This window comes from Homo sapiens, chromosome 17 (assembly GCF_000001405.40).
Source record: "Homo sapiens chromosome 17, GRCh38.p14 Primary Assembly".
NCBI lineage: Eukaryota > Metazoa > Chordata > Mammalia > Primates > Hominidae > Homo > Homo sapiens.
In genome coordinates, this window is record NC_000017.11 from 59,080,563 (window position 1) to 59,102,056 (window position 21,494).

The 21,494-nt window shown below is 38.5% G+C and overlaps 1 protein-coding gene across 46 annotated transcripts in view; it reads right to left on the minus strand.

Moving 5' to 3' along the window:
- The window catches only part of TRIM37 (tripartite motif containing 37), a 139,680-nt gene that overhangs the window by 113,362 nt on the left and 4,824 nt on the right, over positions 1–21,494 (minus strand). For 44 of the 46 annotated variants that reach the window (NR_148347.2, NR_148346.2, XM_047436110.1 and 41 more), the window contains 4 exons: positions 10,738–10,778; positions 7,729–7,845; positions 3,440–3,527; positions 535–657 (listed from right to left, as the gene is read on the minus strand). Coding sequence is in view for 43 of the 46 variants with exons in the window: in XM_047436110.1 (XP_047292066.1) it covers positions 535–657; positions 3,440–3,527; positions 7,729–7,845; positions 10,738–10,778 (369 nt within the window). In the remaining 3 variants the exon portion in view is untranslated. Of the gene's footprint in view, positions 1–534; positions 658–3,439; positions 3,528–7,728; positions 7,846–9,454; positions 9,531–10,737; positions 10,779–21,494 lie in introns of all 46 variants that reach the window. The other 2 variants (NM_001320990.3, NM_001353085.2) reach the window with 2 other exon arrangements.

Consider the following 21,494-nt stretch of genomic DNA (forward strand, 5'->3'; position numbering starts at 1 on the left):
CAGGTGGATCACGACGTCAGGAGTTTGAAACCAGCCTGGCCAATATGGTGAAACCCTGTCTCTACTAAAAATACAAAAATTAGCTGGGCGTGGTGGTGGGCACCTGTAATCCCAGCTACTTGGGAGGGTGAGGCAAAAGAATCACTTGAGCCCGGGAGGTGGAGGTTGTAGTGAGCTGAGATCGCGCCATTACACTCCAGCCTGGGCGACAAGAGTGAAACTCCATCTCAAAAAAAAGAAAAAATAAGTTAATTATTGACTCTGTAACAAACAGACTTTTTAAATTCACTGATTTTCTAATTCTGCATAAGTGGTAATTCTCTGACTCCAACTGCTTCCTTACAAGCCAGGGGCTTTGTATGCAAATTTCTCAGATACTCTGAAATTTATGGAATTTGACTATAGGTACAGCCTATCAAATTTGCAAATCTTGAAAACCTTGATTTCAACATCTGATTAACTTATATTATATAAATATATTATTATATATTACAGATTAAAAACAAAATAATTATATTTTAGTAGTAGTCTTACCACTTCTTGAACTAAGCTGATCAGTTCCATGAGACGCCGACGAAGTTTGGCTACCTCTTCATTCACTTTAGTGACGTGTTGCTCATAAATTTCTGCCAAAGGTTTAAAGGTATGTCCGCCATGCTATTTAAATTAGAGTAGCTTTAGAACACTTTCACATATCTCATCTGCATTTACATTCCTTTGTAACACTCTATGGACACTAATAAACTGGTAAATCTCTCAAATGAACTTTACCTTATTAGCTAATTTAATTTTGTTGAAGCAGGCCAGTGCCCGCTTAAAATCACTTGGTCCAAGTAGGAACTCTTTCAAGATTATAAATAAAGGGCTTTAGCAAAATATTCATTTAACTAGAAATTAACTTATTAAAAAGAACCAAGATCTTTAACCACAGCCCAAATCATCTGCCACAACCTTATCAGTCAGTCACTCTTCTCTAAGGCAAACTAGTCTTCTTCCATGTCCTCAAACTTCTTTCCACCAGGACTTTACAAAAATTACTCCCTCTTATTAAAAAATAATTATTAGCCAGGGGTGGTGGCTCATGCCTCTAATCCCAGTACTTTGGGACGCTGAGGAGGGCAGATCACTTGAACTGAGGAATTCATGACTGGCCTGGCCAACACGGCAAAAACACGTCTCTACTAAAATACAAAATGTAGCCACGCATGTTGGCGCACACCTGTAATCCCAGCTACTCAAGAGGCTGAGACATGAGAATTGCTTGAACCCGGGAGGCAGAGCTTACAGTGAGCTGTGATCGGGCCACTGTACTCCAGCCTGGGTGACAGAGACTCTGTCCCCCCCAAAAAATAATAATTTTTTAATAATAAAAACCAAAAAAAAAAAAAAATAAAAAAAAAAAAATAATAATAATAATAATAATAATGCTGGGCATGGTGGCTCACGCCTGTAATCCTAGCACTGTGGGAGGCTGAGGCGGGTGGATCACCTGAGGTCAGGAGTTCGAGACCAGCCTGGCCAACATGGTGAAACCCCATCTCTACTAAAAAACACAAAAATTAGCTGGGCGTGGTGGCATGCGCCTGTAATCCCAGCTACTCAGGAGGCTGAGGCTGGAGAACCACTTGAAGCCGGGAGGCGGAGGTTGGAGTGAGCTGAGATCACCCCACTGCACTCCAGCCTGGGTGACAGAGTGAGACTCTGTCTCAAAAAAACAAAACAAAACAAATAATAATAATAATTCTCCATCTTCCCTCTCCCATCTTGGTTTGTCTTAATCCTACTCATCCTTTGCACTTAGCTCAGATTTACAGGATCAGCTGCTATAGTTATGCATCCTCATCAGCTCTCTGTATTTATTCCTATAATTTATCAAGCCAATTGAGTATGTAATTGTTTGATATGTTCATCACCAAATCCCTAGTCTTTACCACAGCTGAATGAATTAGAAAGACACTTGAAGAAAAAGCCCAGGATACAAAATTAACAAAAGCAATGAACCCATTTTCCATCCCACAGAGTTACTACAGAGACAGAAGACTGATACAAGTTAGCCTCACAAATCCAGTTGCATTCAGCTCAAAGAACAATTTTTATAGCTAACTACCTAAAAATAATTTTGATTTGTAACCAGAATTATTAAATTTTAATATAAGAAACCTCCTATAAGTTCTTACTAGAATTGTCTTATTTAGCCAAAGTATCCCATTATTGTCTCCAAAAAAGATGTAGATTTTTACATGTTCACTTTAAGTATAGAAAAAAACATTTCTACTGTCTCTTACAAAACCTATGTATTTAAAGTATTAAATGTGAGAACTTAATTTTTTCTAGTTAGCACATTAATATTCAAATTCTAGCAGAAAGCTCTGAATTGAGCTCTACTCAACCAATCTGGCCTGCCACTCTCTCCGTAAAACATACTGACTGATGCCCACAGAATGATCAATTCTTATAGCAACTCTAGATACCTACCCACTTCCATTTCACCCATAACTTATTTTTCCTAAGAATCTATTGTGTTTATTCTCAACCTATTTATGCCAATTGTACTTATTATTGTAAGGAGATCATTTAATTAAGTATTCAGAGGCTGGGCGCGGTGGCTTACCCCTGTAATCCCAGCACTTTGGGAGGCCAAGTCAGGTGGATCACCTGAGGTCAGCAGTTCAAGACCAGCCTGACCAACATGGAGAAACCCCGTCTCTACTAAAAATACAAAATTAGCCAGGCGTGGTGGTGGCACATGCCTGTAATCCTAGCTACTAGGGAGGCTGAGGCAGGAGAATCACTTGAACCCGGGAGGCGGAGGTTGCAGTGAGCCGAGATCCCACCATTGCACTCCAGCCTGGGCAACAAGAGCGAAATTCTCAAAAAAAAAAAAAAAGTATTCAGTAAACAACAGAACACGACTTTAAAATAAAAAAGCTGCTTCTAAGAAAGCTAACTTCAATGCTTCAGGCTCAATAATGGTAGACTGTCTTTAAAAACTGCTCTTGAATTCAATTGGAAAAAATAATCTAAAAAATAAAAAATAATTATAAGATCTAGATAGGCGTACTCATGTTGTTTCACAAGTGTCTAAGTTCGTGCTCCATTTTAAAGGAACTAAAATTGGAAATGTTGGCCAGTACATCTGATCAACTGACCTTTAATGAAAAAAGTGACCTAGATCCTACAACGAAAAGATCTGCAAATGAATAGAGGATATGTTTTATAGGTGTTACAGATTAAAATATTTACATAAGGGGTCCATCAAACCACACAAACAAGATTCTTCTGGAATAAAAGTACAATACCTTTAATAAAGCGTATAGAAAGCAGATGCATTTTAACTTTCATTCTACGAGAGCATAATGACACTATTTTCTATCTGAATAAGTATTTCAGTGCCTTCTAGCCTCTAACTTAAAAAAAATACTGAATTTGTTCTGCTCACCATTCCTCCCCAAAGTGCACACTGATGGCAGATACACTTCTTACAAGTCCAGCAAAATACACTAAGTTTTTCATGGTGATTTTCACATCTATACATTATGAAAAGAAAATGAAGTTATAAATTAAATTGGAACATAATCACCTCCACAAATTCTTAAGCTTGGGCAAACAGGTCAGTTTTAAATGATTATATCTCAAGAAACACAGTATAAAATGTACTCCATGGCTTCTGAAAAGGAAGCTAAAGAAGTTTATGCGGACAATTTTTTGTAAAGTACTGTTTTCATTGATCTGGACTTTATAATCACATGCGAAATACAGATTTGCTTCTTAAAAACATAACACATATTGCATCATTTCCACACAGCACTACAGATGATATATTCTATTGTACTACTACATTTTGGGCATGTGCTTAATAATCATATTGATTATGCATCTATACCTACATGAGCATGCACAAGTACTTTTCCTACATGTGGTCAACGATAACAATAATCAAGACACATGATTAACTGCACGATTTAATACTAGACCCTCATGGAAAATGAACAACTCAATTTTAAATGTTCTTTTAAACTGGATATTCACATGAAAAACAATAAAGTTAGACTCTGTTATGGATTAACTATGTCCCCCCTCAAATTCATAGGTTAAAGCCTTAACCCCCAGTGTGAATGTATTTGCAGACAGAGCCTTTAAGGAGGTAATTAAGGTTAAGTAAGGATCACAAGGGCAGGACCCAAATCCAACAGGACTGGTGTCCTCTATAAAGAGGAGGAGACACCAGGCATGCACGTGCACATAGCAAAGATCATGTGAGGACAGAGCTAGGTGGTGGCCATCTATAAGTCAAGGAGAAAGGGAGGCCTCACTAGAAACCAACACTGCTAGCATTTAATCTTGGACTTAACACCTATCAGAACTGTGAGAAAATAAATTTCTATTGTTTAAGCTACTCAGTTAGCAGTATTGTTATGAAAGACCTAGCAGACTAATACAGACCCTCACTTTATACCATATACACAAATAAACTACAGGCCGGGTGCAGCGGTGGCTCATGCCCGCAATCCCAGCACTTTAGGAGGCCAAGGCGGGTGGAACACTTGAAGCCAGGAGTTTGAGACTGGCCTGGCCAATATAGTGAAACTCCTTCTCTACTAGAAATACAAAAAATTAGCTGGGCGTGGTGGTGCACTCCTACAACCCCAGCTACTCAGAAGGCTGAGGCATGAGAATCGCTTGAACCCGGGAGGCAGAGGTTGCAGTGAGCTGATAATCACACCACTGCACTCCAGCCTGTGCAACAGAGCAAGACTCTGCCTCAAAAAAAAAAGAAAAGAATGAAGGTTTAACATCCAGAATATATAAATAACACCTGTAACTCAACAAATAAACTTTAAAAACTCTAATTTAAAAATGAGCAAAAGATCTCCAGTAAGCATATGAAAAGATGCTCATTACTACTAATCACTAGAGAAATGTGAATCCTAACCTCATACCATATTAGGATGGTTGCTATCAAAAAAACAAAAAAGAGCAAGTGTTGGCCAGGATGTGGAGAAACTGGAACCCTTGTGCACTACTGGTGGGACTGTAAAATGGTACAGTCACTATGGAAAACAGTATGGAGATTCCTCAAAAACTTAAATTAAAAATAGAATTACCACATGATCTAGCAATTCTACTTCTGATTACATAACCAAAAGAACTGAAAGCAGAGTCTCAAAGACATGAACATCCATAGTCATAGCAGCATTATTCACTACAGCCAAAAGGTGGAAGCGACACCAATTTTCACTGAGAGATGAATGGACAAAAAAAATGTGACATATACATACAATATAATATTATTAACCCTTAAAAAGGTGGGAAATTCTGACACATGGATGAACCTTGAGGACATTATGCTAAGTAAAATAAACCAGTTACAAAAAGAGAGGTACTGTATGGTTCCACTTATATGCAGTATCTAGAGTACTCAAACAGATAGAAACAGAAAGTACAATGGTGGCTGCCAGGGGCTGGTGCGAAGAAGGAATGGGGAGTTGTTTAATGGGTACAGTTTCAGATTTGCAAGTTTAAAAAGTTCTGGAGATTGGCTGAACATGTGAACATGCTTAACATAACTGAACTGTACATTAAAAAATGATTAAGATGGTAAATTTTATGTATATTTTACCATAATTAAAATGTTTTAAGTATTCTCTTGTTTATAAAGTAGACATACTCTTGCAATTTTTTTTTTTTTTTTTGAGACGGAGTCTAGCTCTGTCATCCAGGCTGGAATGAAGTGGCGCGATCTTGGCCCACTACAACCTCCACCTTCTAGGTTCAAGCAATTCTTGCTGCCTCAGCCTCCCAAGTAGCTGGGATTACAGGCACATGCCACCACGCCCAGCTAATTTTTGTATTTTTAATACAGACAGGGTTTCACCATGTTGGCCAGGCTGGTCTCGAACTCCTGACCTTAGGTGATCCACCCACCCCGGCCTCCCAAAGTGCTGGGATTACAAGCATGAGCCACTGTGCCTGGCCCACTCTTGCATTTTTCAAAAAGCATTTCATTGATGAAGGACACTGAGCTTAGAGAAAATACTTACATAAGTTTATATTTTATATTTCTAATTCATAAGTAATCAGAATATAAAATGGGAAATGAATAAGAGTTAGAATACATCAGGTACTGTTTGGAAGCTCATTTAGCAAGACTTCCAAAAGACCAAATTTATAATATAGCTTTTACAATATAGAAAATTTGCCAAAACTCCTCTTAATTAACAGCCTGTATTCACTTGCAGCAAGGGGAGGCCAGTAGGCATCAAACAGCAAGTAAGAAAGACTAGCAGGTTAGCAAATTGTAGCAGTCTATTCCTTTTGAGAGGCTCTAATAGAAGAGGCCCAAAAAGAGGTAAAAGGTCTTTCCAAACAGTAATACCCACCACTTCAGAGGAAAAACACCTAAGTGTTCACCAAAGAAATGTGCCATTGTATAGAAAAGAAATTAAATAATTATTTTTGGTGAGACCTCTACAATGCTACAAGTGACAGAATTCCTTAAAAGTCCAGTTAAACTTGAATAGCAGGTTTTTGGTTTTGTTTTTGTTTTTTTGGGAGATGGAGTCTCGCTCGTTACCCAGGCTGGAATGCAATGGCACGATCTCGGCTCACTGCAACTTACGCCTCCTGGGCTCAAGCGATTCTCCTGCCTCAGCCCCCCAAGTAGCTGGGATTATAGGCGTCCACCACGACGCCCAGCTAATTTTTGTATTTTTAGTAGAGACAGGGTTCTCCATGTTGGCCAGGCTGGTCTTGAACTCCTGACCTCAGGTAATCCACCCACCTCGGCTTCCCAAAGTGCTGAGATTATAGGCATGAGCCACCACACCCGCCCGAATAGTAGGTTTTAATTCTGATTATGCATTAATGTGTTATACTACCATAATTAAGCCTCTTTCTTTTTTTTTTTTTTTTTCTTTTTTTAAGAGATGGGTTCTTGCTATGTTACCTAAGCCATCCTCTGGGCTCAAGAGATCCTCCTGCCTGAGCCTCCCAAGTATCTGGGACTACAGATGCACACCACCACACCCTGTTCTCTTATTTCTATGGTTCTATTTCCTCAGTATAATGAAGAAACAGATAAATTTTTTTCTAATGACCTGTGAGGTTTCAACCTCTTGCTTTACCATGTTGTGACTCTACAGAAAGTGACAAGGCTTTATTTCTAAACATTCAGGGGTCCTGGAATCTCACCTAATTCAAGTTATTTTATTATTGCTGGACAGTGAAGCCTTACAATTAACCATGTTGTAGCTTCTTCATCTATAAAAACCAATCACTGCCACATCACTCTTTCCTTTCTTTACCTGCTCCCCATAACAACTCTCCAGATATGTTCAAAATTCTTCAATCATGGAACATAAGACCATTTATTCATTCTTGTCCCTTAAATGACTTAACACTGTATTATCACTGTGTCCCCATTAAACAGTTAACAGAAATCATGTCTCATTTACCTTTGTATGCCTATCATCTAGCAAAGTACTTTCTGTGTGGGGGGAGGGGAGGGCGAGAGGTATCTGTGTATACATGGCATGAAATAACTGTTGTTAAATAAACACAATAAGAATATGTTACTTAACAGTAACAGCGCATGACTGAAAGAATTAAAAACAAGAAATATAACACTACTTATTCATAAATAACTAAAAGGCAACTACCAATATAGTGTCATTAAACAATACAAAGGCAAAATCCATTCAATATTGAACAAAGAAATTGAGGACATACTTGTCCTTTTCATTTTCTTCATGTTTGGTGAGACTGCAGAGTTGAAGAGTATCAAGCTGTTGTGTTACTTCTTCTGCCCAACGACAATTTACTAGTTCTCGTAGCTGGAGTGGAGCACTGGGGAGAAAATCCATACACATACACTAATTCAGGAATTTGAGATTATTTTATAAAATAAATACGTTTCTCAAAATAGAGAGCACAATAATACTCATACCATAACACTATTTTTTTTTTTTAAGAGATGAGTCTCACTCTATGACCCAGGGTGGAATGCAGCGGCATGCATGATCATGGTTCACTGTAGCCTTGACCTCCTAGGCTCAAGCGATCCTCCTGCCTCAGCCTCCTGAGTGGCTGGGACTACAGCAGCACACCATCAAACCCAGCTAATTTTAAAATTTTTTGTAGAGACGGGAATCTTGCTATATTTCCCAGGCTGGTCTTGAACTCCTGGCCTCCAGTGATCCTCCCAAAGTACTAGGATTACAGGTATGAGCCACTACCTGGCCCCATAATACTATTAAAACTAAAAAAATAAAAAATAAAAAAAAAGACAATGAAAAATATTATCTGTGACTTATTTTCACCACATTAACACGTCATTTATGAAAAGAAACAAAAAGCTAAACAAAAACATATGATTCAGAATATGGACTGAATTCTCAACTTCTGAGTCTAAAGCTGTACTGTTGGCGTAGTGGCTCGCGCCTGTAATCCCAGCACTTTGGGAGGCTGAGGCAGGTAGATTGCTTGAGCCCAGGTGTTCGAGACCAGCCTGGGCAACATGATGAAACCCTGTCTCTATAAAAAATTAGCCAAGTGCAATGGCATGTGCCTACAGTCCCAGCTACCCATGAAGCTGAGGTAGGAGGACCACATGAGCCAGGGAGATTGAGGCTGCAGTGAGCCAAGATCATGCCTCTGCACTCCAGCCTGGGGAACAGAGTGAGAGCCTGTCTCAAAAACAAAACAAAACAAAACACAAATCCACAGCTGTGCTGTCCAAAACGATAGCCACTAGCCACATGTGACTCTTTTAAGTTAAAATTAAATAAAAATAAAATTTTGGCCAGGTGCAGTGGCTCACACCTGTAATCCCAGCAGTTTGGGAGGCCACAGCGGGTGGATCACAAGGTCAGGAGATCAAGACCATCCTGGCCAACATGGTGAAACGCTGTCTCTACTAAAAATACAAAAATTAGCTGGGCGTGGTGGCACGTGCCTGTAATCCCAGCTACTTGGGAGGATGAGGCAGGAGAATCACTTGAACCAGGGAGTCAGAGGTTGCAGTGAGCCAAGATTGCGCCACTGCACCCCAGCCTGGCGAAAGAGTGAGACTCCATCTCAAAAATAAATAAATAAGTAAAATTTCATCATATAGCCACACTAGACACATTTCAAGTGATCGACAGCCACACACAACTAGTGGCTACCATACTGGACAGTGTAGACATAGAACACTTTCATCATTATAAAAAGTTCTACTTGATAATGCTGGTCTTATAAGATAATGTAAGAAAGGTGGGACGAGGCACAGTGGTTCACGCTGCAATCCTAGCACTTCGGGAGGTCAAGGTGGTAGGATCCCTTGAGCCCAGGAAGTCGAGACCAGTTTGGCCAACACAGTGACATCTCATCTCTACAAAAAATAAACAAAATTAGCTGGCATGGTAGCACACACCAGTGGTCCCAGTTAGGAAGGAGGTTGAGGTAGGAGGATCACCTGAGCCCAGGAGGTCGAGGCTGCAGTGAGCTGAAATCACGCCATTGCACTCCGGCCTGGACGACAGAGCGAGACTCTGTCTCAAAAAAATAAAAAGAAAAGTGAATACAAAAAGAAAAATGGTTAACAGATGGCACTCCAGCATTATTTTTTGAAACCAAAAGTAGAGATAACCTAAATGTCTCTCAATATGGGCATAAATAAATCAAGGTATAGTCATAAAACTGATTATCAGTCACTTTTTTAAAAAATGACTTATGTATACATACAATCAAGAAAAGATATCTACCATATTTTACATGAAAAAGCAAACTGCAAAACAATATTATATCATTGGTACATTTTAAGAAAAAGCATATGGGAATCACATACGCATATATATATATAAATATAGGCACAATCATACTGGATTAGGGCATTACAAAATACATGCACAAAAAACAGTCTAGAAGAATAGATACCAAACCCAACAATTTCTTCTGAAAGTATTATTAAGTGAGAAGACAGGGTAGGGAGTATCAGAATCAGAAGGCTTTTTATTTTATTTTATATTTATCTCTACCATCTGGATTTTTTTGTTTGTTTTTTGTTTTTATTTTTTTGAGACAGACTCTCGCTCTGTGGCCCAGGCTGGAGTGCAGTGGCGTGACCTTGGCTCAAGTGCAGCAGTACGATCTCAGCTCACTCCAACCTCCACCTCCTAGGTTCAAGCAATTCTCATGCTTCAGCCTCCTGAGTAGCTGGGACTATAGTCGCGCGCCACCACGCCCAGCTAATTTTTGTATTTTTAGTAGAGACAAGGTTTCACTATGTTGGCCAGGCTGGTGTCGAATTCCCGACCTCAGGTGATCCAGCCGCCTTGGCCTCCCAAAGTGCTGGGATTACAGGTATGAGCGAGCCACTGTGCCCGGCCAAGCTATCTGGATTTTTTTAACCAGAAAACATTAAAATTTTTTGCTTAATTATAAAAGATAAATTATGCCCTAACTATCTGGATTTTTTAACCAGAAACATTAAAAATTTGTTGCTTAATTATAAAAGGTAAATTAAGAAGTTATACAATGATTTTCTGAGAGGCAGAGTACAACATAGTAAACGTAATTTTAAGTCACATGAATTAGTCCCTGCATTTCTTTTTCTAGTCAAATTGCTTATTTCTACTCAACTATCTTCACGAAGAAGAGAAATGGGCAGACTGCAGGAAAACTGCCTTTATGAATCCCAAGGCACATTCTGATCTTACTATTTTCAAAATTCACAAATAATCGTAAGGAAACACTTACCGGCAATGAGGACATTGAGCTCTCTGCTCTGTCAGCCAGCGCTAAGGGGGCAAAAGATTAGATATCGATTAGAAAACATCATTACTATATATATATATTACTTAATATTTTATATTTATATATAATATATATAATATTCTTAATATATATAATATATAAATATATAATATTCATAATATATAATATATAATATATTATTATATAACATATCATATATATATAATGTATAATGTATAATAATGTATAATATATTATACATTATATATATAATATATATAATGTATAATATATTATACATTATATATATAATATATATATAATGTATAATAATGTATAATATATTATATAATATTTATATATATAAAATACTACAAATCTAATGGGTTTAACTCTCTAGTGCTTAGTTTTAGAGATACTTATAAAAGTAACAGGCAATCTACTGTTTCCCTCACTGTCATCCTCATAGGGATAAACTTTTGAAGGGACAAAACTCAACACAAAATAGCTGTTAAAAGGCTACTCTCACACAGGAAAAGCAATGATTTCAGGACTAACTGATTCTCACAGGGAACGTCTATATAATCTTATTATTGTCTTATAATAATGGCACTGTCTCCTTTGCACTCAAAAATAAACCACAGTGATGATTTATTTCTATCTAGTTTACTACTAAATTTATTTTTTGAAAAGCTAATTCGAAAAAAAAAAGGAAGCTAATTCTGAGTTACATACATTATAGACATGTAAATTAAACCGAAAAAAATGAATAAGCAATACAGCACAACTTTTAAGTCTTAAAACAGTTTCACAGGGCTGGGCACGGTGTCTCACGCCTGTAATCCCAGCAATTTGGGAGGCCAAGGTGGGCAGATCACCTGAGGTCAGCTGATGGAGACCAGCCTGGCCAACATGGTGAAACCCCGTCTCTACTAAAAACACAAAAATTAGCCAGGCATGGTGATGGTGGCAGGCGCCCATAATCCCAGCTACTCGGGAGGCTGAGGCAGGAGAATTGCTTGAACCAAGGAGGCAGAGGTTGCAGTGAGCCGAGATCCTGCCACTGCACTCTAGCCTGGGCAACAGAGCAAGACTCTGTCTCAAAAAAAAAAAAACAAAAAAAACGGTTTCATAGTTCAGTAATTGAAGCTTCTAGATATCTTGGTTTCCTCATAATTATAAAAAGGTTTTAGAAGAGAATAATGTCTCTACTAAACCAAAAATTATATTAATAATTTATTAGGAAACTGAGAGCAATGTTATACCACATATAAAGGAGATGTTAAGATTTTCTGACTAGTTTTCAGGAAACAACAGGTTTATAATAAAAAAAACTTTATGTTTTAATTGTCTGATAAATAGGTTCAGAGGTAAATAACTATGATCCTACACCAACGTACTCCCAATATCTGTTATTTGTTTATCTCTTTCTACTTTTTAAAATGAACATGAGCTTTAACTTGATGCCAAATAATTAACTTAGAAATAAAATTCCCAAGGAAACCTTAAAGGACAGTAAAAGACTTAAAATGATAGCAAGCAAGGTACTTCAGAGCAAAGAAAATAAAGCTGAAAGAAAAAGCATACAGAGCACGCCTGTAATCCCAGCACTTTGGGAGGCTGAGGCGGGTGGATCACGAGGTCAGGAGTTCGAGACCAGCCTGGCCAACATAGTGAAATCCCGTCTCTACTAAAAATACAAATTGAGCCAGGTGTGGTGGCATGAGCATGTAGTCCCAGCTACTCAGGAGGCTGAGGCAGGAGAACTGCTTGAACCCAGGAGGTGGAGGCTGCAGGGAGCCGAGACAGCGCCACGGCACTACAGCCTGTGTAACAGAGCATGATTCTGTCTCAAAAAATAAAATAAAAATAAAATAAAAAGCCTATGGAAAAGGATTCCTCCATTCTTAATAACCTTGAACATTATTATTACCTTGGTCCCTAGGCAAAAACGAAATTTGGGTCAGGTTTCTTCCCCTGAAACAATGGCATGACCATGCCACTCTTCTGTTAAAGTCACAGCTCCTCTCCAGAACTGGTCTCATGAACTCCTCTCCAGAACTGGCCCTATAACCCAGCAAGGTAATGTCTTTACATGTTTCCTCTCTCTGCCTAAGATATTCTTCAAAACCTTTCTTCATCTGGGTTACTCCTACTCATTGTTTAGATTTCAGTTCATAAGTTGCTTTCTCCAAAAAGCTTTCCCTGACACTCTGCAGACTATTTTAGATACAATTGCCATGCTCTACCACAGCAACCTACACTTCCCCCTTCAGATACTTTATTACGACGACTTATTTGTTGGTCTCCTTTGCCCTGCTAGACTATAAAACTTATAAAGACTGGGACTATGATAGGGAGTAACCAGATCGTATTTTAAATGTCTCCCTCCCTCCCAGTCAAAACAGGCTTACTGCTGCACTATATAACACTGTCGATATATCTGTGCATTTGCTTATATGGTCCCTCCCTCCATATCCCGTCTCATAGAAATGTCACTGGATCATGTCCATAAAATTTCCTGCCTTTCCCAGGCTATAGTGAGTTTTACATTCTCTGAATATTTGTGGTATTTTTATCTTGTATTCCACAATCTAATTTATTTATTTATTTTTTGAGACAGAGTCTCACTCCCTCCCCCAGGCTTGAGTGCAGTGGTGCAATCTCAACTCACTGCAACCTCTGCCTCCCGGGTTCAAGCAATTCTCATGCCTCAGCCTCTCAAGCAGCTGGGATTACAGGCATGCGACGCCACACCCAGATGGTTTTCGTATTTTTATTAGAGATGGGGTTTTCCCACGTTGGCCAGGCTAGTCTCCAACTCTGACCTCAAGTGATCTGCCCGCCTGGGCCTCCCAAAGTGCTGGGATTACAGGCATACAGGCATGAAATTGCTCAGCCTCCACAATCTAATTTAATTACAAAATAAATATGACAATGTTAATACTTTGAGAAAAGCAATGTTTCTCTCAAACCAAAACCAAAGAACCAGTGGTACAATATTAATGCATAATATTAAACAAATATCTTTAGAGCATTCCCCCTCATTCAATTAAAAAATCATAAACATAAAATAAAATTAAAATTAAAAATTATTTTCTCTCCTTCATTAAACTGGAAGAATCACAAGCTTTAGAAAGTATTCAGATCTGTGTCTGATTCCCAGCTCTGGCACTTATGGACCACATGACATTGGACAAGTGACTGAGCTCGTCTCCTCATATGCAACAAGAGAATCAACATATCTACCCTGCAAAACCGCTCTAAGGGTTAGAGAGAAGCTGTTAGCAATATATACTAAGTATCTAAGATAATCTTAAAAAAAAAACAAACTGGCTGCTAACATTTATAGTTCAATTACTACTGGATGTGAGGAAAAAGGAAGATTAAGGTGAGCTAGGTTTTTGGATAAAAAACTGGGTTCCTGACTGGAAAAGAAACAGATTTGGCATGGTGAAAAACAAAAACAAAAACAAAAACAAAACAAAAAAAAACCTCTTATAGAGACGATATATTTCAGATGCATACTACAAGTCCAAATGAAGGTAGTTAGATACTGGAGGCAGAGAAAAGGCCAGGACTGAAAAGATAAAGTTGGGAAGTTTAAGTCTAGAGGTAGTGTTAAAAGTCATGGACCAGTCGGGTGTGGTGGCTCACACCTTTAATCCCAGCACTTTGGCAGGCCAAGGTGGGAGGATTGCTTAAGGCCAGGAGCTCCAGATCAGCCTGGGTCACATAGCAAGATACCATCTCTACAATAAATTTAAAAATTAGCCGGGCATGGTGGACACGCCTGTAGTCCCAGCTACTCCTCAGGAGGCTGAGGTGGGAGGATCAACTGAGTCCAGAGGTCAGGGCTGCAGTGAGCCATGATCATGCCACTGTCTCTAGCCTGGATGACAGAGCAAGACTCGGTCTCTTAAAAAAAAAAAATCCATAGACCATGAAGTTACTAGGAAGATGGTATAGCTATTATGGCAAAGATACCAAAGATAACGTTTCAAGAAAAACAGATGAAGTAATTTATGCTGAATGCTCCGAGAAGGAAAGATAAGGCCAACAAAAGGTTCATTGGATTTAGCAAAACTGAGTCTACACTTTGCAGGAGCTATGTGAGTAGTGTGGAGGGAGCTAAAGCCAAGTTAGAATGGGTTGAAGGGTAAGTAGATGGCAAGGTTGCAGGGAAATGGAGTGGAAAACACTCTTTTAAATACTTTTAGCTATAAGAGAAAACAGGCAGTAAATAGGAAATTTGTTAACAAAGGACTTTTATTCCCAAACAGCTCAAAATTGCAAGGAAACTAGGAGGCCGATCATAGAGGATCTTAGATGCCTTGTGAAAGCATACAAAATTTCTTACATCCCCTAATGTACTGTTTGAGGCAAACTATATATACATACAAAAACATGCTAAATACTTTCTGGGGTTGTTTTTGTTTTTGAGACAAGTCTCACTCTGTCACTCAGGCAGGAGAGCAGTGGCCCAAACACAGCTCACTGCAGCCTCAACCTCTTCATCTCAAGAGGTCCTCCCACCTGACCCTCTGAAGTAGCTGAGGCTACAGGTGTGCCCACCACATCCAGCTAATTTTTTAATTTTTTTTGCAGAGATGGGATCTTGCCATGTTGCTCAGCCTGGTCTTGAAGTCCTGGGCTCAAACAATCCTCCATCTTTGGGCCTCCCAACGTGCTGGGACTACAGGCATGAGCCACTGTGCCCAGACTAAAATAGTTTCTTACAAACATCTATACCACTAAACTATAACAAAAGTCCACTTCTTATGGTATGTCTACCAAAGAAAGGGAAAAGCTGTCCTTTTGTTCATTTCCAAAAACCTGTAAGAATGAGTAATTATCATAAAGATTGTATATATTAATTATCTAGCATACAGAACTAAATAAGCCAGATGGTAAATAAAATTACTGTTAGTGTAACAGGAGACCAAAAAAAGAGAGTTTAAAAAAAAAACATCAGCCGGGCACAGTGGCTCACGCCTGTAATCTCAATACTTTGGGAGGCCGAGGTGGGTGGATCACCTGGAGTCAGGAGTTCGAGACCAGCCTGGCCAACATGGTGAAACCCCGCCTCTACTAAAAATATAAAAATTAGCCAGGCATGGTGGTGGGTGCCTGTAATCCCAGCTACTCGGGAGGCTGAGGCAGGAGAATCGCTTGAACCCAGGAGGCAGAGGTTGCAATGAGCCAAGATCGTGCCACTGCACTACAGCCTGGGTGACAGTGAGACTCTGTCTCAAAAAAAAAAAAACAAAAAAAAAAAAACCAACTTTGTAACAGAAAACAAGGTCTTTAAGAAACATTAATTACAGCAATTATTAAAAATCTTAGATCATGGGCTCATGATTGATTAAATACTATTTCCAATGCCTAATCCTGCATTTGAAATTAATTAAAAATATAAGTATTTATTAAATTCCTTCCATTTCTTCAGAATATAATCAGAGATATCATTATTGACATGTACTGTGCATCCTCATTCATAATGCTATATGAAAAATTTTAATGTATATGTGGTCTGGGAGTTTAAGATATTTACTAGAGAAATTGTGCTAGGGAAATCCTCAACAAAATCCCAATAAAACTAATTCAACAGACTATTTAAAAAATTATACACTGTGGCCAAGTGGGATTTATTCCTAGAATAGAAAGATGATTCAACTACAAAAATCATTCAATGTAATAAACCACTTCATGGAAAACCCCCACTATGATCATCTCAATTGATGCAGAAAAGGCATCTGACAAAATCCAATATCCTTTCATGATAAAAATACTCAATAGAAATAGAAGGGAACTTCCTCAACTTGATAAAGGCCATATATAAAAACTCATAAAAATCATAGTCAACGATTCAAAGGCTAAAAACTCTTCCCCTTAAGATCAGGAAAAATTCCCCTTAAGATCAGGAAAAAGACAAGGATGCCAGCTTTTACCATTTCTATTTGACATAATACAGGTACTAAAAATTCCAGCCAGAGTACTTAGGCAAGATAAAGAAATAAAAAGTATCCTAATTAAAAAAGAAGTGAAATTATCTTTTTGCAGATGACATGATCTTATCTGTAAAAATCCCTAAAGAGTCCACAAAATATTGTTAAAGCTAATAAACACAACAGTTACAGGAGACAAACACACAAAAAACACTGGCATTTCTATAAGCTTGCAATGAACAATCTAAAAACGAAATTAAGAAAATAACACATTTGCAACAGCATCAAAAGGAATAAAATGCTTAGGGAAAAAAAAAACCAAGAATTTGAAAGACATACATGGAGGCTGAGTGTGGTGGCTCACACCTATAATCCCAGCATTGGGAGGCCAAGACAAGAGGGTCTCTTGAACCCAGGAAGTTGAGGCTGCAGTGAGCCATGATCGCATCACTGCACTCCAGCCTGGGTGACAGTGAGATCCTGTCTCAAAACAATAAAAAACAAAAAGAAAGACTTATACGTGCAAAACTACAATACACTGCTCAAAGAAGTTAAAGAAGTCCTAAATAAATGGAAAGACACCCATGTTCAAGGATCATAAGATTTAATATTGTTAAGACAGCAATATTACTCAAAGGCATGTACAGAATCAATGTAATCCCTACTAAAACTCCAATGGTACTTTTTATATTGGTAGAAAACTGCATTTAAAATTCACATGGAATCTCAAGGGATGCCAAATAGTCAAAACTATCTTGAAAAAGTTGGAGGACTCACACTTCCTAATTTCAAAACTTACTACAAAGCTACAGTAATCAAAACAGTGTGGTACTACCATAAGAACAGAAATAGAGACTAATAGAACAGAATAGAGAGGTAGAAATAAACAAAAATATTTTATGATTCCATTTATATGATGTACTTAGAATAGTCAATGTAAAGACAGAAGGTAGAATAGTGGTTAACAGGGGCTAGGGGGAAGAGAATAATGAGAATTTATTGTTTATCAAGTACAGAGTTTCAGTTTGGGATGATGAAAAAGTACTAAAGGTGGATAGTGGTGATGGCTGCACAACAATGTGAATGTACTTAATGCCGCTAAACAGTACACTTAAAAATACAGTTAAAATTGCAAATTTGGCTGGGCCAAGTGGCTCACATCTGTAATCCTAGCACTTGGGAGGCCAAGGCAGGCAGATCACTTGAGCCCAGGAGTTTGAGGCCAGCTTTGGCAACAAAGTAAAACCCTGTCTCTACAAAAAATAAAAAAATTAGCCAGGCACGATGGCACACACTTGTGGTCCCAGCTACTCAAGAGTGTGAAGCAGGCCAACTGCTTGAGCCCAAGAGATTGAGGCTGCAGTGAGCCATGATTGTGTCACTGTGCTCCAACGTGGGCAACAGAGTGAGACACTGTCTCATTTAAAAAAAAAAAAAAAAAAAGGCTAATTTTACATTAGGTATATTTTACCACAATTAAAAAAAAATTAACAGAATACCATATGACCCAGCAATTTCACTTCTAGATATATATTCAAAAGAAATGAAAGCAGGAACTCAAACAGATAATTGTTAACAACAGAACTATTAACAATATCCAATATCCAAAAAGTGAAAACAACCCAAGTGTCCATCAAGAGATAAAAATGGATAAATAGGCTAGGCGCGGTGGCTCAACGCCTGTAATCCCAGCACTTTGGGAGGCCAAGGAGGGTGGATCACCAGGTCAAGAGATCGACACCATCCTGGCCAACATGGTGAAACCCCATCTCTACTAAAAATACAAAAATTAGCTGGGTGTACTGGCGCACACCTGTAGTCCCAGCTACTCGGGAGGCTGAGGCAGCAGACTCGCTTGAACCTCGGAGGTGGAGGGTGTGGTGAGCCGAGATCGCACGATTGCACTCCAGCCTGGCGACAGAGCGAGGCTCTGTCTCAAAAAACAAAAAAACTTAAGAAAAAGGATAAACAAAAAGTGGTATATAGCCATGTGTCACATAAAGATGTTTCGGTAAATGATGGACCGCATATACTACAGTAGTCTCGTAAGATTAGAATGGAGCTGCCCTACATAGGTGTACCATTTTTTATCTTTTATACTGTATTTTTAATATACCTTTTCTATGTTTACTTATGTTTATTTTCTTTTTTCTTTTTTTTTAATGGGTACAGACTTTCTGTTTGGGGTGATGAAAGATTTTGGAAATAGTGATATGGTTGTATAACATTATGAATGTAATTAAAGACACCGAACTGTACCCTTAAATATGGGTAAAATGGAAAATTTTGTTATATTTATTTTAGCACAAAATGGGGGGCACTGAACAGACCCCTTACCAAAGACAACATATGGATGGTAAATAACTCCTGGAAAAGATGCTAACATCATTACTCAACAGAGAAACGCTAACTAAAACAAGGAGATACCTGTAAGAATGGCTACACGTCCCTGAGAATGGCTAAAATTCACAAAACCGAACACACCAACTGTTAGCATTAATGTGGAGGAATTGGAACTCTCATAAACTTCTGGTGAGAATGTAAAATTATAAAACTATTTCCTTTTTTTTCTTTTTGAGACAGAGTTTCGCTCTTGTTGCCCAGGCTGGAGTGCAATGGTGCGATCTCGGCTCACCACAACCTCCGCCTTCTGGATTCAAGTGATTCTCCTGCCTCAGGCTCCCAAGGAGCTGGGATTACAGACATGTACCACCAGGCCTGGCTAATTTTGTATTTTTGGTAGAGACAGAGTTCTCCATGTTGGTCAAGCTGGTCTCGAACTCCCGAATTCAGGTGATCCATCCACTTCGGCCTCCCAATCCTTTTTTTAATTTAACCTTCATCCCTCTCCTCCTCTCCCTCTTTTGAAGTCCCCAGTGTCTAGCATTTCCCCCTTTATGTCCATGTATGCTCATTGTTTAGCTCCCAGATACAAGTATTTTAGAAAATAGCTTGGCAATTTTCAAAATGTTAAACACACATCTACCACATAATCTCTATCCGTTCCATTACTAATTATTTACCCAAGAGAAAAGAAAGCTTCTTGTACACGAATGTTCGCAGCAATTTTCACTGTAATAGCAAAAACTGTAAACATGCCATATGCCCATCAACAGGTGAATGCATAAACAAATTGTGGTAAATACATACAATGGAATACTACTTAGCAATAAAAAGGAATACTACTGATACATACAGTATTTTTGCTGAGTGAAAAAAAGCCAGATCCGTAAGAGTACATATTGTATGATTTTCATTTGTATAAAATTCCAAAACATGCAAACTTATCTTTTTTCTCTTTTTCCATCCCCCTTATCTCTGAAGCAAACTTATCTATCGTGACAGAAAGCAGATCAATGGTTGCCTGGGGACAAGGCAAGTAGAGGGAGGAATTACCAAGAGGCACAAGGAAACTTTTGGGGATGACAGATATATTCACTAACTTGGATGCAATGATTGTCTCACAAGAATACATATATGTCAAAACTGTACACTTGGCCAGGCTCAGTGACTCACATCTGTAATCCTAGCACTTTGGGAGGCTGAGGTGGGTGGATCACCTGAGGTCAGGAGTTTGAGACCAACCTGACCAACATGGTGAAACCCTGTTTCTACTAAAAATACAAAATTAGTCAAGCGTGGTGATGCATGCCTATAATCCCAGCTACTTGGGAGGCTGAGGCAGGAGAATCACTCGAACCCAGGAGATGGAGGTTGCAGTGAGCGGAGATCGCGTCATTGCACTCCAGGCTGGGCAACAAGAGCAAAACGCCGTCTCAAAAAAAAAAAAAAAAGAACAAAACAAACAAAAAAACTGTACACTTTAAATATGTGTAGTTTACTGCATGTCAGTTATACCTAATAAAAAATGACTGGCTTGAAAACAAGTAGGCAAGCAATCAATATTTGCTGAATGAATGAACAAATGATTAGTGCATTCAGGAACCAAGACAGCCCTAGAAAGAAAGGTCAGAACCAGATCTGGATGGTCTGAACACAAGGCTAACATTCTTGGATTTTATCCTTTACATAATACATTTCTGAGGCTTCTGGGGAAAAGAAAGAGATATCAGTGAAAAATATTAATATAGTAGCAGGACAGAAAATGGACTGGAGATAAGAAAAGACTCAAACCTGAGAGATCAGACAGAAAGTAATTAAATAATCTAAGCATGAGGTAACCAATGTTCATACTTCTCTATTAGCATGGTAATGATAAAAACAGAAGGGTAAGACAAATATAAGTGAAACAGGGAGATAATAACTAATTGCACTTAAAAATCATTGGTATAGGCCAGAGGCAGCGGCTCATGCCTGTAATCCCAGCACTTTGGGAGGCCAAGGAGGGAAGATCAGTTGAGGTCAGGAGTTTGAGACCAGCCTGGGCAACATAGTGAAACCCCATCTCTACAAAAAAAAAAAAAAAAAAAAAAATATATATATATATATATACACACACACACACACACACACACACATATATACATATACATGTTTATATATATACATATATACACACACATATATACATATATATATACAAAAATAGCCGGGCATCATGGAGTGCGCTGATACTCCCAGCAACTTGAGAGGCTGAGGCAGGAAAATCTCTTGAACCTGGGAGGCGGAGGTCGTAGTGACCCAAGATCACGCCACTGCACTTTAGCCTGGGCAACAGAGCAAGAATCCATCTCAAAAAAAAATAAAAAATAAAAAATAAAAAAATCATTGGTATAAAGTTTCCAGTTTGAGTGACTAGCAGAACAGAACAAAAAGAATGAACTTAGAATCGGTTTGAGAAAATAATATGAA